General features: G+C 43.6%; 1 protein-coding gene and 1 pseudogene across 1 annotated transcript in view; one reads left to right on the top strand and one right to left on the bottom strand.

Annotated features, from left to right (window-relative positions):
* The window catches only part of MEIG1 (meiosis/spermiogenesis associated 1), a 33,823-nt gene continuing 19,261 nt past the window's right edge, over window positions 1-14,562 (bottom strand). The window contains exons 2-3 of the transcript NR_147060.2: window positions 1,037-1,255; window positions 1-263 (exon numbers count right to left, since the gene is read on the bottom strand). The gene's annotated coding sequence lies outside the window, so the exon portion shown is untranslated. The remainder of the gene's footprint in view (window positions 264-1,036; window positions 1,256-14,562) is intronic.
* On the top strand, window positions 580-1,175 carry OR7E110P (olfactory receptor family 7 subfamily E member 110 pseudogene; annotated as a pseudogene).

The raw sequence follows: 14,562 nt of genomic DNA, 5'->3' as shown, positions 1-14,562 counted from the left end.
TTTTTAAGTGTGCATGTACTTTTATGAAGAAGTGATGTCAGAAAACCGAAGGATGATAATAAATATGAAAAGTAACAGGTATGTGAAAAGGTGTTCCCATTGAGAACTATAAGGTTCGATTTCGTTTTCAGATAATGGGGTCGTAGCTCTCGTGTCGTCCTTTTACATATTCTACATCAATGGAAGTTGTAGCACGGTGTCAGAATAAAGTAGAGTGTATTTCACGGCTTCTTAATTTCTTTCAATTAGACTGAGATCTTTTTCTGAAAGAGAGAAGGATATTTTCATTGCATTGTGTTTTTTCTGAAAAGAGTAGGCCGTATTTTACGGAGATCACGGATTTGTTATATACGACGTTTTGGTCTTCTGATATTCTTCAGTGGATTTTCTCTAAAGTAGTATGTACAGAAAGCCTCGTATAGCTAAAAAGTAAATCACGTAAAAATTCTGAGATTTTTGGAATTGTCACAACTGAGAAACATTGCTGGTGGTGTATGGTCTGCAAGTGTAAAGATGTTCCTTGTGAATTGCTTGCATCCAACATTAAGGGCTGGTTTTTACCTTTTATTTTCCAATCCTCTTTCCTTCTCAAGGTGTCCAAGACACACAGAGCCACGGAATCTCACAGGTGTCTGAGAATTCCTCCTCCTGGGACTCTCAGAGGATCCAGAACTGCAGCCTGTCCTCGCTTTGCTGTCCCTGTCCCTGTCCCTGTCCTTGTATCTGGTCATGGTTCTGAGGAACCTGCTCAGCATCCTGGCTGTCAGCTCTGACTCCCCCCTCCATACCCCCATGTACTTCTTCCTCTCCAACCTGTGCTGGGCTGACATCGGGTTCACTTCGGCCACGGTTCCCAAGGTGACTGTGGACATGCAGTCGCATAGCAGAGTCATCTCTCATGCGGGCTGCCTGACACAGATGTCTTTCTTGGTCCTTTTTTGCATGTATAGAATGCATGCTCCTGACTGTGATGGCCTATGACGGCTTTGTAGCCATCTGTCTCCCTCTGCACTACCCAGTCATCATGAATCCTCACCTCTGTGTCTTCTTCGTTTTGGTGTCCTTTTTCCTTAGCCTGTTGGATTCCCAGCTGCACGGTTGGATTGTGTGACAATTCACCATCATCAAGAATGTGGAAATCTCTCATTTTGTCTGTGACCCCTCTCAACTTCTCAACTCTGGGAGGCTGAGTCGCTGGGATCACTTGAGTCCAGGAGTTCGAGACCCGCTTGGCCAACATGGTGAAACCCCGTCTCTACGGAAAAAACAAACTATTAGTCAGGCTTGGTGACGCCTGCCTGTAGTCTCAGCTATTCGCAGGGCCGAGGCCCAAGAAGCGCTTGAACTCAGGAGGCGGAGCTTGCAGTGAGCCCGGATTGTGCCTGTGTACTCCAACCTGGGCAACAGAAAGAGACTCCATCATACACCTACATACAAAAGGAATCTGAGTAAGGTGGAAAGTATAAAGGAGGTTAGCAGACGCTACGAAGAAAAGGGATGGGATGGGGAATGAAGACAAGTGGATAATTGGGTCCTGAAATACAGAAAGATGGAATAAGTGAGTTCTAGTGTTTGATAGTACAGTATGAAAATTTTACTTCACAAGAATTTCTTGCACAATTCCAGATGGTTTGGTAAGAAACTTCCTAACTTTCTCATTATGCTGGTTTTTAAGGTCTTCTCTTTCTGCTCTTGAAATCATGCTGGTTTTTTGTTTTTTGTTTTGAGATGGAGTTTCGCTCTTGTTGCCCAGGCTGAAGTGTGATGGTGCAATCTTGGCTCACCAGATCCTCTGCCTCCTGGGTTCAAGCGATTCTTCTGCCTCCACCTCCCGAGTAGCTGGGATTACAGGCATGCGCCAGCACGCCCAGCTAATGTTGTATTTCATGGTTAAAAAATGCTGCAAGATGAAATAAGAATTATATCACAGGGTGAAGACCCACTGTGATATTAGAATTAATACCTCCCTAGGATATAAAATATACTGTCACAGAGTATACACACATGGGGTACACCCACTGTGATATTAGAAGCAATATCTCCCTAAAGTATGATGAAAAATATCACAGGGTGTGCACACTGTGTGATATGAGGAGTAATATTTACCCTGGATATTAAGACTAATATCAAGGGTGTACACACCCGGGGTACACGCACTGTGATATCAGGAGTTGTATCTCCCTAGGATATTATGAATACTATCACAGGGTATACACTATGTGTGTACATCCACTGTGATATTTGAATTAATATCTCTCTAGGGGATTACAAATAATAACAAAGCATGTACACCCCTGTGACATATTAGGAGTAACATCCTCCTAGGGTATTGCAGATCACGTCACAAGGTGTACACCTTCTGTGACATTTTGTACACTCTTTGTGACATTCAAACAAACATCCTCCTAGGCTATTATGAATAATATCACAGGTGGTGTACACACACGATGTACACCGCCTCACCCCGTGTGACATTAGGGAGATCATGCCCCTAGGATATTAGGAATAGTATCACAAGCATTGAATACGTATGACATACACTCCCGGTGACATTAAAAATAACATCTCCCTTGGATATTACGACTAATATGATGGAGTACATCCCATATGACATTAGGAGTAACACCCCCAAGGATATAACCGATCATATCAGAGGGTGTACATGCATTGTGACCTTACTAGTAACGTCCCTTTAGGATATTACAAATAATATCACAGGGTGTACAGGCATTGTGACATTAGTAGTAACATCCCGCCAGGATATGACGAGTCATATCACAGGGTGTATACCCCCGTGACCATAGTAGCAACATTTCCCTAGAATATTACGAATAACATCCCAGGATGTACGGCCCCAGTGATTTATGAGTAACATATCTCTAGAATATTACAACTCCTATCACTGTGTGACTCTGTGTACACCCCGTGTGACATTAGAAGTAACATCCCCCGAGGAAATAACGAATAATGTCAGAGAATGTACCTGCATTGGGACATCAGTAGTAACATCTCTTCAAGACAATACGAATAATATCAAAGGGTGTACACGCATTGTGAAATGAGTAGTGAACTCCCGCTAGGATATTAGGAATTTCATGACAGGGTCTACACGCCCTGTGACATTAGCAGTAATGTTTTCCTGGAATATTATGAAGAATATTGAAGCGTGTACAGGACCTGTGAATTACGAGTAACATTTCTATAGAATATTGCACATACCATCACTGTGTGTCCACCCCGTGTGACATCAGGGGTAACATCCCACAAAATTATAACGAATAATTTCACAAGGTGTACAACCTCTGTGACATTAAAAGTCACATTTCCCTAGAATAGGACGATAATATCACAGAGTGTACACCCTCTGTGATAAGAGGAGTGACATCTTACAAGGATCATACGAGTAATTTGACAAGGTGTACAAACCCTGTGACATAAGAGGTGACATCCCTCTAGGATATTATGAATAATATCAAAGGGAAACTTCCCCGTGTGACAATAAAAGTAACCTCCCCTTAGGAGAAGAAGAATAAGACCACAAGGTGTACACACATTGTGACATTCTTCTTAATGTCCCGCTAGGATACTGTGAATAACATCTCAGTGTGTAGAGTCCTGTGACAACATGATTAACATTCCCCTACAATATTACGAATAATATCGCAGGGTGTATACCCCGGTGACTTCAGTAGCGGCATGTTGCTAGAAAATGGAAAATAATGTCCCAGGATGTCAACCAAGGGTGGTAGTAGACGAAATCTCCTCGGAAAAATCGGGGAGTAATATCACCCCCCTCTCCCACCCTGGATATTACGATCCACATCGCAGGGGGGTGGGCTCCCCCCACGATGCGGGGAGTAATAGCACCCCCCTCTCCCCGCCTGGATATGACGATCCACCGTGGTCACACAGCGTGTTGACGGTATTGTCAATAATATCTTTTCCGCCTCTGGAAATTACCAACTATATCATACACGGGTGTACATCCTCTGCACTCTTTGCCGTAATAGCATCCTCTTGCCCCTGGATATTAAGAACAATATCTCGGGAGTGTTTATACCCCCAGCAGCATTGGGTGTAGTATCATCCTCTCCCACGTTGACATTAGGAACAATATCACTGGGGGCATGTCCACCCCATGCGATATTGAAAGTAACATCATCCTCTTCTCTCCTGGATCATGGGAACAATATCCCTGGGGTGGTGCACGCTTTCTGTGCTATTGGGAGGAGGGTCAACCTCTCCCCCTTGGAATATTAAGGACCGTATCACTGGGGGGATATACACACCCTGCGCTATTAAGAAGAATATTATCCTCCCCCGCCCTGCACATTACAAAAAATATCACAGAGTGGGTGTACACCTCCTGCGATGGGGGCGTGGTATCATCTTCTCTTCTTCTGGATAATAGCAGCAATAGTACACGGGTTTGTACACTTTCTGTGATATTGGGAGTAATATCAACCTCTCCACCTTTGAATATTAAGAACAATAGCACAGACTGGATGTACACCCCCTGCGATATTGGGAGTCATATCAGCCTCTCCTCTCCATGGATATTAGGAAGAATATCCCAGGATGGGTGTACACCTCCTGCTGTATGGGGAGTCATATCGTCCTCTCCCTTCCTGGCTGCTAGGAAGAATATCAGAGGGTGGGTGTACACAGCCTGCGATATTGCGAGTAATATCACCCTCTCCCCCTCTGGATATTAGGAACGATGTCACAGAAGGGTTGTGCACTTCCTGCGATACTGGGAGTAATAGCATTCTCTTCTTCCGTGAATATTAGGAGGAATATCACCGGGTGGATGCACACCCAGTGCTATCTTGGGAGTAACTTCATACGCCACCCCCTGGAGATGATATTCGGATCAATATCACCGGGTGGGTGTACAGCTACTGCGATATTAAACGTAATATCATGCTCTCTCCCTCCCTGAACATTAGGAGCAATATCACAGGTGGGTGTACACCCACTGGGGTATTAGGCATAATATTCATATTAATTCTTCCTCATTTATTATTAACAGGAATATCTATTACCAATATTAATATTAATATTAAGAAATAATTGCTCATAAAAAGTGCTCAGATTAACATTAACATTAATTATTAGGAGCTAATATGACTGTTTTCTAATGAATAAGATCAATATCACTTATTAATACCAGGCATCATTAATCGTTAATATTAATCATTTATTGTTATCGTGAGTATAACTCTTTAATATGAATTTTCATTATTATCTGTATTGATTTTAAGAATTATATGATCAGTTGTTAATATTGATAATTATTAGTATCAATTAACAATTGATATTATTAATTGCGGTAACATTGCGTCATTCCACCCCTCCCTTGGCAGCTCGTCTACGACCCAAAACGGGGATCCAAATGCCCCTGAGAGAGCAGCGGTATACTGGGATAGAGGAGGATGGTCACGTGGTGGAGAGGCTGTTTTTGTGTACCAGCCCTTCACCTCTGCTGACCTTCTCAACTGGGAAAACAATACCCCGTCCCAGAAGGAAAAGCCACAAGCCCTAATTGATTTGCTCCAAACTGTTATCCAGACCCACAACCACACCTGGGCTGATTGCCACCAGTTGCTCATGTTCCTCTTTAACAGAGATGAAAGGCAAAGAGTCCTCCAAGCAGCAACTAAGTGGCTAGAGGAACATGCACCAGCTGATTATCAAAACCCCCAAGAGTATGGAAGGACCCAGGTACCACGAACCGACCACCAGTTGGACCCACATGAAAGAGAGGATATGCAAAGGCTAAACTGAGGCAGGGAAGCTCTCTTGGAAGGATTAATGAGGGGAGCTCAGAAGGCCACAAATGTTAACAAGGTCTCTGAGGTCATTCAGGAAAAAGAAGAAAGTCCAGCACAATTATACGAGAGACTGTGTGAGGCCTATCATATGTATACTCCCCTCGATCCCGATAACCCTGAAAATCAGCGCATGATTCACATGGCTTTAATCCATCAAAGCGCGGAAGACCTTAGAAGAAAACTGCAGAAGCAGGCTGGGCTTGCAGGGGTGAATACATCACAATGATGAGAAAGAGCTAAGCAGGTGTTTGTAAACAGGGATGCAGTAAGCCGCGAGGAAAAGCGCAAAGAGAATGGAGGTCAGGCCCGGGGAAACGCCGACCTGTTTGTTAGCTGCAGCAATCAGAGGGGTCCCCCCAAAGAAGCAAGGGAAGGGGGGCCCTGGGAAAGAAACTCAGCTTGGCTGTCAGAGTTTGCAGTGTAACCAGTGTGCTTATTGGAAAGAAATAGGACATTGGAAGAACAAATGCCCTCAGCTCAAAAGAAAACAAGATGACTCAGAACAGGAGGCCCTGGACTAGGAGGAAGGGGCCCGGCTCAACCTCGCAGAAGGGTTATTGGACTGAGGGAGACCGGGCTCAAGCGTCCCCAAAGAGCCTCTGGTCAGAATGACTGTCGGGGGTAGAGACATTGATTTTCCTGTAGATACCGGTGCTGAACATTCGCTAGTAACCGCCCCGGTCGCCCCCTTATCCAAAAAGACTCTTGACATCACCGGAGCCACGGGGGTTTCCGCAAAGCAAGCTTTCTGCTCGCCTCGGACTTGTACTGTAGGAGGACATCAAGTCATTCATCAGTTTTTGTACATGCCAGACCGTCCCTTGACCTTGCTGGGAAGGGACTTGCTCAGCAAGCTGAGAGCCAGTCTCTCTTTGACAGAACACAGCTCTTTGCTGCTAAAGTTACCCACCACGGGAGTCATTATGACCCTTACAGTCCCCCGAGAGGAGGAATGGAGACTTTTCTGAACTGAGCCAGGCCAAGAGAGAAGACCAGCTCTGGCTAAGCGGTGGCCAAGAGTACGGGCGGAAGACAACCCTCCAGAGTTGGCCAGTTAAGACTGGGGCCCAGCCGCTTAGGCAAAAACAGGACCCGGTCACCAGAGAAGCTCTTCAAGGTATCCAGGTCCGTCTCAAGCACCTAAGAACTTGTGGAATGATACTTCCTTGTCATTCGCCATGGAACACTCCCCTCCTGCCTGTTCCCAAGCCACAGACCAAGGTCTACAGGCCGGGACAGGATTTGCGCTTGCTTCGTCAAGCTACACTGACTTTCCATCCAACAGTACCTAACCCGTCCACATTGTTGGGGTTGCTGCCAGCTGAGGACAGCTGCTTCACCTGCTTGGACCTGAAAGACGCTTTCTTTCCTATCAGATTAGCCCCTGAGAGGCAGAAGCTCTTTGCCTTTCAGTGGGAAGGTCCGGAGTCAGGTGTCACTACTCAGTACACTTGGACCGGTCTTCCCCAAAGGTTCAAGAACTCCCCCACCATCTTCGGTGAGGCGTTGGCTCGAGACCTCCAGAGGTTTCCAACCAGAGACATAGGCTGCGCTTTGCTCCAGTAGGTTGAGCTTTTGCTGGGACACCCCAGGTCAGTCGGGTGCGCCAAGAGAACGGATTGCCCTACGCCAACACCTGGAGGACTGTGGGTATAATGTGTCCAAGAAAAAAGCTCAGATCTCCTGACAGCAGGTACGTTACTTCATATTCTGAATAAGATTACAAGGTGTACAGCCCCTGCGATATTAGGGGTAACATTTCCATAAAATATCACAAATGATATCACTGTTTGTACACCACGTGTGACATTAGGAGTAACATCCCTGGAAACGATTATGAATAACCTCACAGATTGTACACTCTCTGTGATATTAGAAGTTAACATCTTTCTAGAATGCGAAGAATAACATCGCAGGATATACACCGCTGTGACATAAGGAGTAACATCACTCTAGGATATTACGAATAATATAACAAATTGTACACAATTTGTATGGTGGGAGTAACATCCCCCTGGGATACTCCGAATTATAGCACAGAAACCACACCCCCTGTGACAATAGGCGTAACATCCCCTTAGGATATTACGAATAATATCACAAGGTGAACAGGCATGGTGACACTAGTAACAATATCCAGCTAGTAGATTGTGAATAATATCACGGCGTGCACACATTTGCGACATTAGGAGTAACATCCCCCTAGAATATTATGAATAACATAACAGGGTGTACACAGCCTGCGACTTTAGGGTAATTATCCCCCTGGATTACTACAAATAATTTCACAGGATGTTAAACTCCTCTGACAATAGAAATAATATACTTCTACGATATAACGAATAGTATCACAGTGTGTACACCCACTGCGATATTAAAAGTTATACCTCCCTCACATATTGTGAATAATATCACAGGGTGTACACCATGTGTGCACACCCACTGTGATTTTTAAAGTAATATCTCCTCAGGATATTAGGAATAATATCAAGGGGTGTACACACCCTATGACATTAAGATAACATCTCTTTAGGATATTTGAAATAATATCCCAGGGTGTACACCCCATGTGACATTACAAGTAACATCTTCGTAGGATATTACAAATAAGATCCCAGGGTTGACAGCCCCTGTGATTTTAAAAGTAAAATCCCGCTAGAATATTAGTAATAATAACACAGGGTGTACACCCCTGTGACGTTGGGAGTAACATCCTCCCAGGATATTACGAATAATATCAGAAGGTGTACACACATGGTGACATTAGTAGTAGTATCCCGCTAGTATATTGTGAATACTATCCCAGGGCATACACACCTGTGACTTTAGGAGTAACATCCCCCTGGAATATTCCGAATAATATCACAGGGTGTACACCTCCTGTGACTTTAGGAGTATCATCCCGCTAAAGTATTACGAATAATGTCACAGGGGGTTAGCCTGTGTAATATCACAGGGTGTACACCCCCTGTGACATTAGGAGTAACATCTTTCTAGAACATCACGGGTAATATCACAGCGTGTACAACCTTTGTGATATTTAAAGTAAAATCCCCCTGAGATATTCCGAATAATATCACAGGGAGTACACCCCATGTGACATAGGAGGAATGACCCATGAGGATATAACGGATAATATCAGAGGGTGTACACGTATTGTGGCATTAGTAGTAACATCCCACCAGGATATTACGAATAATATCACAAGGTGTACACGCCGGGTGACATTAATTTATGTCACAATCCCCTAGAATACGACCCATAACATTACAGGGTGTAGAACACCTGTGATTTATGAGTAACATTTCTATAGAATATTACAAGTAATATCATTTGGTGTGCACCCCGTGTGACATAAGTTGTAACATACCACGAAACTGTGATGAATAATTTCAAAAGGTGTGTACACTCTGTGACATTAAAAGTCACATCTCGCTAGGATATTACGAATAATATCACAGGGTATACAGCCCCTGTGACATGAGGAGTCATGTCTTTTTAGGATATCACGGCTAATATAACAAGATGTACACACCCTGTGACATTAGGTGTAACATCCGTCTAGGAGACTACGAATACTATCGCAGCGAACACAACCCCTGTGACAATATGAGTAACATCCCCGTAGGATATTAGGAATAATATCACAAGGTGTACATGCATTGTGACTTCAGTGCTAATATCCCTCTCATATACTGTGAATAATATCACAGGGTGTGCACCCCTGTGATATCACATTAGGAGTAACATCTCCCTAGAGTATTACGAATAATATCATGGGGGGAACACACGCCTTTGGTTTTGGACTAATATTCCCCTAGGATGTTACTAATAATATCACAGTGTGGACAATCACTGTGATATTAGCAGTCCCATTTTCCAAGGATATTATGAATAATATCACAGTACGTTTTCATACATAATGTGTACACCATGTGTCTACACCCAATGTGATATTTGAAGTAATATATCCCTGGGTCTTAGGACTAACATCAAAGGGTGTACACCCCATGTGACATTCAAAGTAACATTCCCTGTGGATATTGCGAGTGGTATCACAGGGTGTGATATTAGGAGTAACCTCTTCCTAGGATAACACATGTGATATTAGGAGTAACCTCTTCCTAGGATATTACGAATAACATTACAGGGTGTACACCCCTGTGACTTTAAAAGGAACACCCCCCTAGAATATTACAATAATAGAACAGGGTGTACAATCCCTGTGACATTAAGAGTAACATCTCCCCAGGATATTACGAATAATGTCACTGGGGGCACACTCTCTGTGATATTAGCAGCAACATCTTTCTAGGATATTACGAATGATATCACAGGGTGTAAACTCACGGTGATATTAGAAGGAATACCTCCCTAGGATATGAGCTATCATATCACAGAGTGTACACACATGGTGTACACCCACTGTGTTATTAGCAGGAATATCTCCCTATGATATTATGAAAAATATCACAGGGTGTACCCTCTGTGGGTTACTAGAAGTAATGTTTACCATGGATATTACAAATAATATCACAGGGTATACCCACATGGGGTACACCCACTGTGATATTAGGAGTTATATCTCTTGAAGAAATTACAAATAATATCCCAGTGGGTGTACCCCATGTGTGTACACCCACTGGGATATTTAAAGTAATATCTCTCTATAAGATTACAAATAATATCGAAGGGTGTACACCCCCTGTGACATTATAGGAGTGACATCCCCCTACAATATTGGGAACAATATCACACGGTGTACATCCCTGTAACTTTATGAGTAACATCCCCCCTGAATATTACTAATAATATCACGTGTACACGCATTTGGCATTAGTAGTAATATCCTGCTAGCATATTTTCAATAATATCACAGAAGGAACAGGCCTGTGACATTAAGACTAACATCACCCTAGAAGAGTAAGAATAATAACATGGGGTGTACACCATCTGTGACATTGGGAGTATCATCTCGCTAGAATATTACGAATAGTGTCACAGGGTGTTATCTTCTGTGCCAATAGGAGTATAGACCCCTGGGTAATTATGAATACTATCACAGGCTGTACACGCCTGTGACATTAGGAGTAACATCTTTCTACAATATCATGAATAATATCTCAATGTGTACACCCCTGTGTCATTAAAAGTAAAATTGCGCTAGGACATTAGGAAATAGAACACAGGGAGTACACCCCGTGTGACATTAGAAGTAACATCCCCCGTGGATATAACGAATAATGTCAGAGAATGTACCTGCATTGGGACATCAGTAGTAACATCTCTTCAGGACAGTACGAATAATATCAAAGTGTGTACACGCATTGTGAAATGAGTAGTGAACTCCTGCTAGGATATTAGGAATTTCATGACAGGGTCTACACGCCCTGTGACATTAGCAGTAACGTTTTCCTGGAATATTATGAAGAATATGAAAGGGTGTACAGGACCTGTGAATTACGAGTAACATTTCTATAGAATATTACATGGAACATCACTGTGTGTCCACCCCGTGTGACATTAGGGGTAACATCCCACAAAATTATAACGAATAATTTCACAAGGTGTACACCCTCTGTGACATTAAAAGTCACATTTCCCTAGAATAGGACGATAATATCACAGAGTGTACACCCTCTGTGATATGAGGAGTGACATCTTATGAGGATAATACGAGTGATTTGACAAGGTGTACAAACCCTGTGACATAAGAGGTGACATCCCTCTAGGATATTATGAATAATATCAAAGCGAACATAGCCCGTGTGACAATAAAAGTAACCTCCCCATAGGAGAATAAGAATAACACCACAAGGTATACACACATTGTGACATTATTCTTAATGTCCCGCTAGGATACTGGGAATAACTTCACAGTGTGTACGGTCCTGTGACATCAGGATTAATATTCCCCGATGAATAATATGTAATTAATATTATGAATAATGCAGCAGGGTGTATACCCCGGTGACTTTACTAGTGGCATCTTGCTAGAATATGGAAAATAATGTCCCAGGGTGTGAACCCAGGATGGCAGTAGAGAAAAGATCCTAGGAAAAATCGGGGAGTAATATCAACCCCCTCTCCCCACCTGGGTATTACGATTCCCGTCGCAAGGGGGCGGACGCCCCCCGCGATGCGGGGAGTAATATCACCCCCCGGTCCCCCCCTGGATATTAGGATCCACGGTGGTCACAGCGTGTTGACGTTATTGTCAGTAATATCTTCTCTGCCTCTGGAAATTACCAACTATGTCACAGACGGGTGCACATCCTCTGTACTATTTGCAGTAATAGCATCCTCTTCCCCCTGGATATTAAGAACAATATCACGGGAGTGTTTCTGCCCCCAGCGGCATTGGGTGTAGTATCGTCCTCTCCCATGTTGAAATTAGGACCAATATCACTGGGGGCGTGTCCATCCCATGCGATATTGAAAGTAACATCATCCTCTTCTCTCCTGGATCATGGGAACAATATCCCTGGGGTGGTGTACGCTTTCTGTGCTATTGGGAGTAGGGTTATCCTCTCCCCCTTGGAATATTAAGGATCATATCACAGGGGGGCTGTACACACCCTGCGTTATTAAGAAGAATATTATCCTCCCCCGCCCTGCACATTACAAAAAATATCACAGAGTGGGTGTACACCTCCTGCGGTATGGGGGGTATTATCATCTTCTCCTCTTCTGGATAATAGCAACAATAGTACACGGGTTTGTACACTTTCTGTGATATTGGGAGTAATATTAACCTCTCCACCTTTGAATGTTAAGAACAATATCATAGACTGGATGTAGACCCCCTGCCATATTGGGAGTCATATCAGCCTCTCCTCTCCATGGATATTAGGAAGAATATCCCAGGATGGGTGTACACCTCCTGCTGTCTGGGGAGTCATATCGTCCTCTCCCTTCCTGGCTACTAGGAACAATATCAGAGGGTGGGTGTACACAGCCTGCGATATTGGGAGTAATATCACCCTCTCCCCCTCCGGATATTAGGAACAATGTCACAGAAAGGGTGTACATTTCCTGTGATACCGGGAGTAATAGCATTCTCTTTTTCCGTGAATATGAGGAGGAACATCACCGGGTGGATGCGCACCCAGTGCTATATTGGGAGTAACGTCATACGCCATCCCCTGGAGATGAGATTCGGATCAATATCACCGGGTGGGTGTACAGCTACTGCGATATTGAACGTAATATCATGCTCTCTCCCTTCCTGGACATTATGAACAATATCACAGGTGGGTGTACACCCACTGAGGTTTTAGGTGTACTATTAGTATTAATTCATCCTCATTTATTATTAACATGAATATCTATTACCAATATTGATATTAATATTAAGAAATCATTGCTCATAAAGTGTTCAGATTATTAATATTAATATTAATTATTAAGAGCTAATATGACTGTTTTCTAATGAATAAGATCAATATCAGTTATTAATATCAGGTGTCATTAATCATTAATATTAATCATTTATTGTTATCGTGAGTATAACTCTTTAATGTGAATTATCATTATTATCGCTATTGATTTTAAGAATTATATGATCAGTTATTAATATTGATAGTTATTAGTCTCAATTAATAATTGATACCATTAATCGCGGTAAGTCACATTGTGCCATTCCACCCCTCCCTCGACAGCTGGTTTACGACCCAAAACGGGGATCCAAATGCCCCTGAGAGAGCAGCGGTATACTGGGATAGAGGAGGATGGTCACGTAGTGGAGAGGCGTGTTTTTGGGTACCAGGCCTTCACCTCTGCCGACCTTCTCAACTGGGAAAACAATACACCGCCCTCTACCGAAAAGCCACAAGCCCTAATTGATTTGCTCCAAACTGTTATCCAGACCCACAACCCCACCTGGGCTGATTGCCACCGGTTGCTCATGTTCCTCTTTAACAGAGATGAAAGGCGGAGAGGGCTCCAAGCAGCAACTAAGTGGCTAGAGGAATATGCACCAGCTGATTGTCAAAACCCCCAAGAGTATGGAAGGACCCAGTTACCAGGAACCAACCCCCAGATGGACCCACATGAAAGAGAGGATATGCAAAGGCTAAACCCAGACAGGGAAGCTCTCTTGGAAGGATTAAAGAGGGGAGCTCAGAAGGCCACAAACGTTAACAAGGTCTCTGAGGTTATTCAGGGAAAAAGAAGAAAGTCCAGCACAATTATACGAGAGACTGTGTAAGGCCTATCATATGTATACTCCCTTTGATCCCGATAGCCCTGAAATAAGCACGTGATTCCCATGGCCTTAGTCCGTCAAAGCGCTGGCTCTTCACTTTACAAATGTAAATCCTGAGGCTGCAATCCTAAGTTGTTAGCTCAAGGTCATGCAACTGTACATTACCATATTCTATGACCATACTTTTCATCATTAGTAAGTAGGCAAAGATCTTTATAGTTTTCTTTTTTTTTTTTTTTTTGAGATGGAGTCTCCCTCTGTCGCCCAGGCTGGAGTGCAGTGGCGGGATCTTGGCTCACTGCAAGCTCTGCCTCCTGGGTTCACACCATTCTCCTGCCTCAGCCTTCTGAGCAGCTGGGACTACAGGCAGCCGCCACCACTCCCAGCTAATTTTTTGTATTTTTTAGTAGAGACAGGGTTTCACCCTGCTAGCCAGGATGGTCTTGATTTCCTGACCTCATGATTCACCCTCCTCGGCCTCCCAAAGTGCTAGGATTTTAGGTGTGGGTCACTGTGCCCAGC

The sequence above is a fragment of the Homo sapiens genome, chromosome 10 (genome assembly GCF_000001405.40).
Source record: "Homo sapiens chromosome 10, GRCh38.p14 Primary Assembly".
Classification (NCBI taxonomy): Eukaryota; Metazoa; Chordata; class Mammalia; order Primates; family Hominidae; genus Homo; species Homo sapiens.
This window is presented reverse-complemented; position numbering and strand designations above follow the sequence as displayed.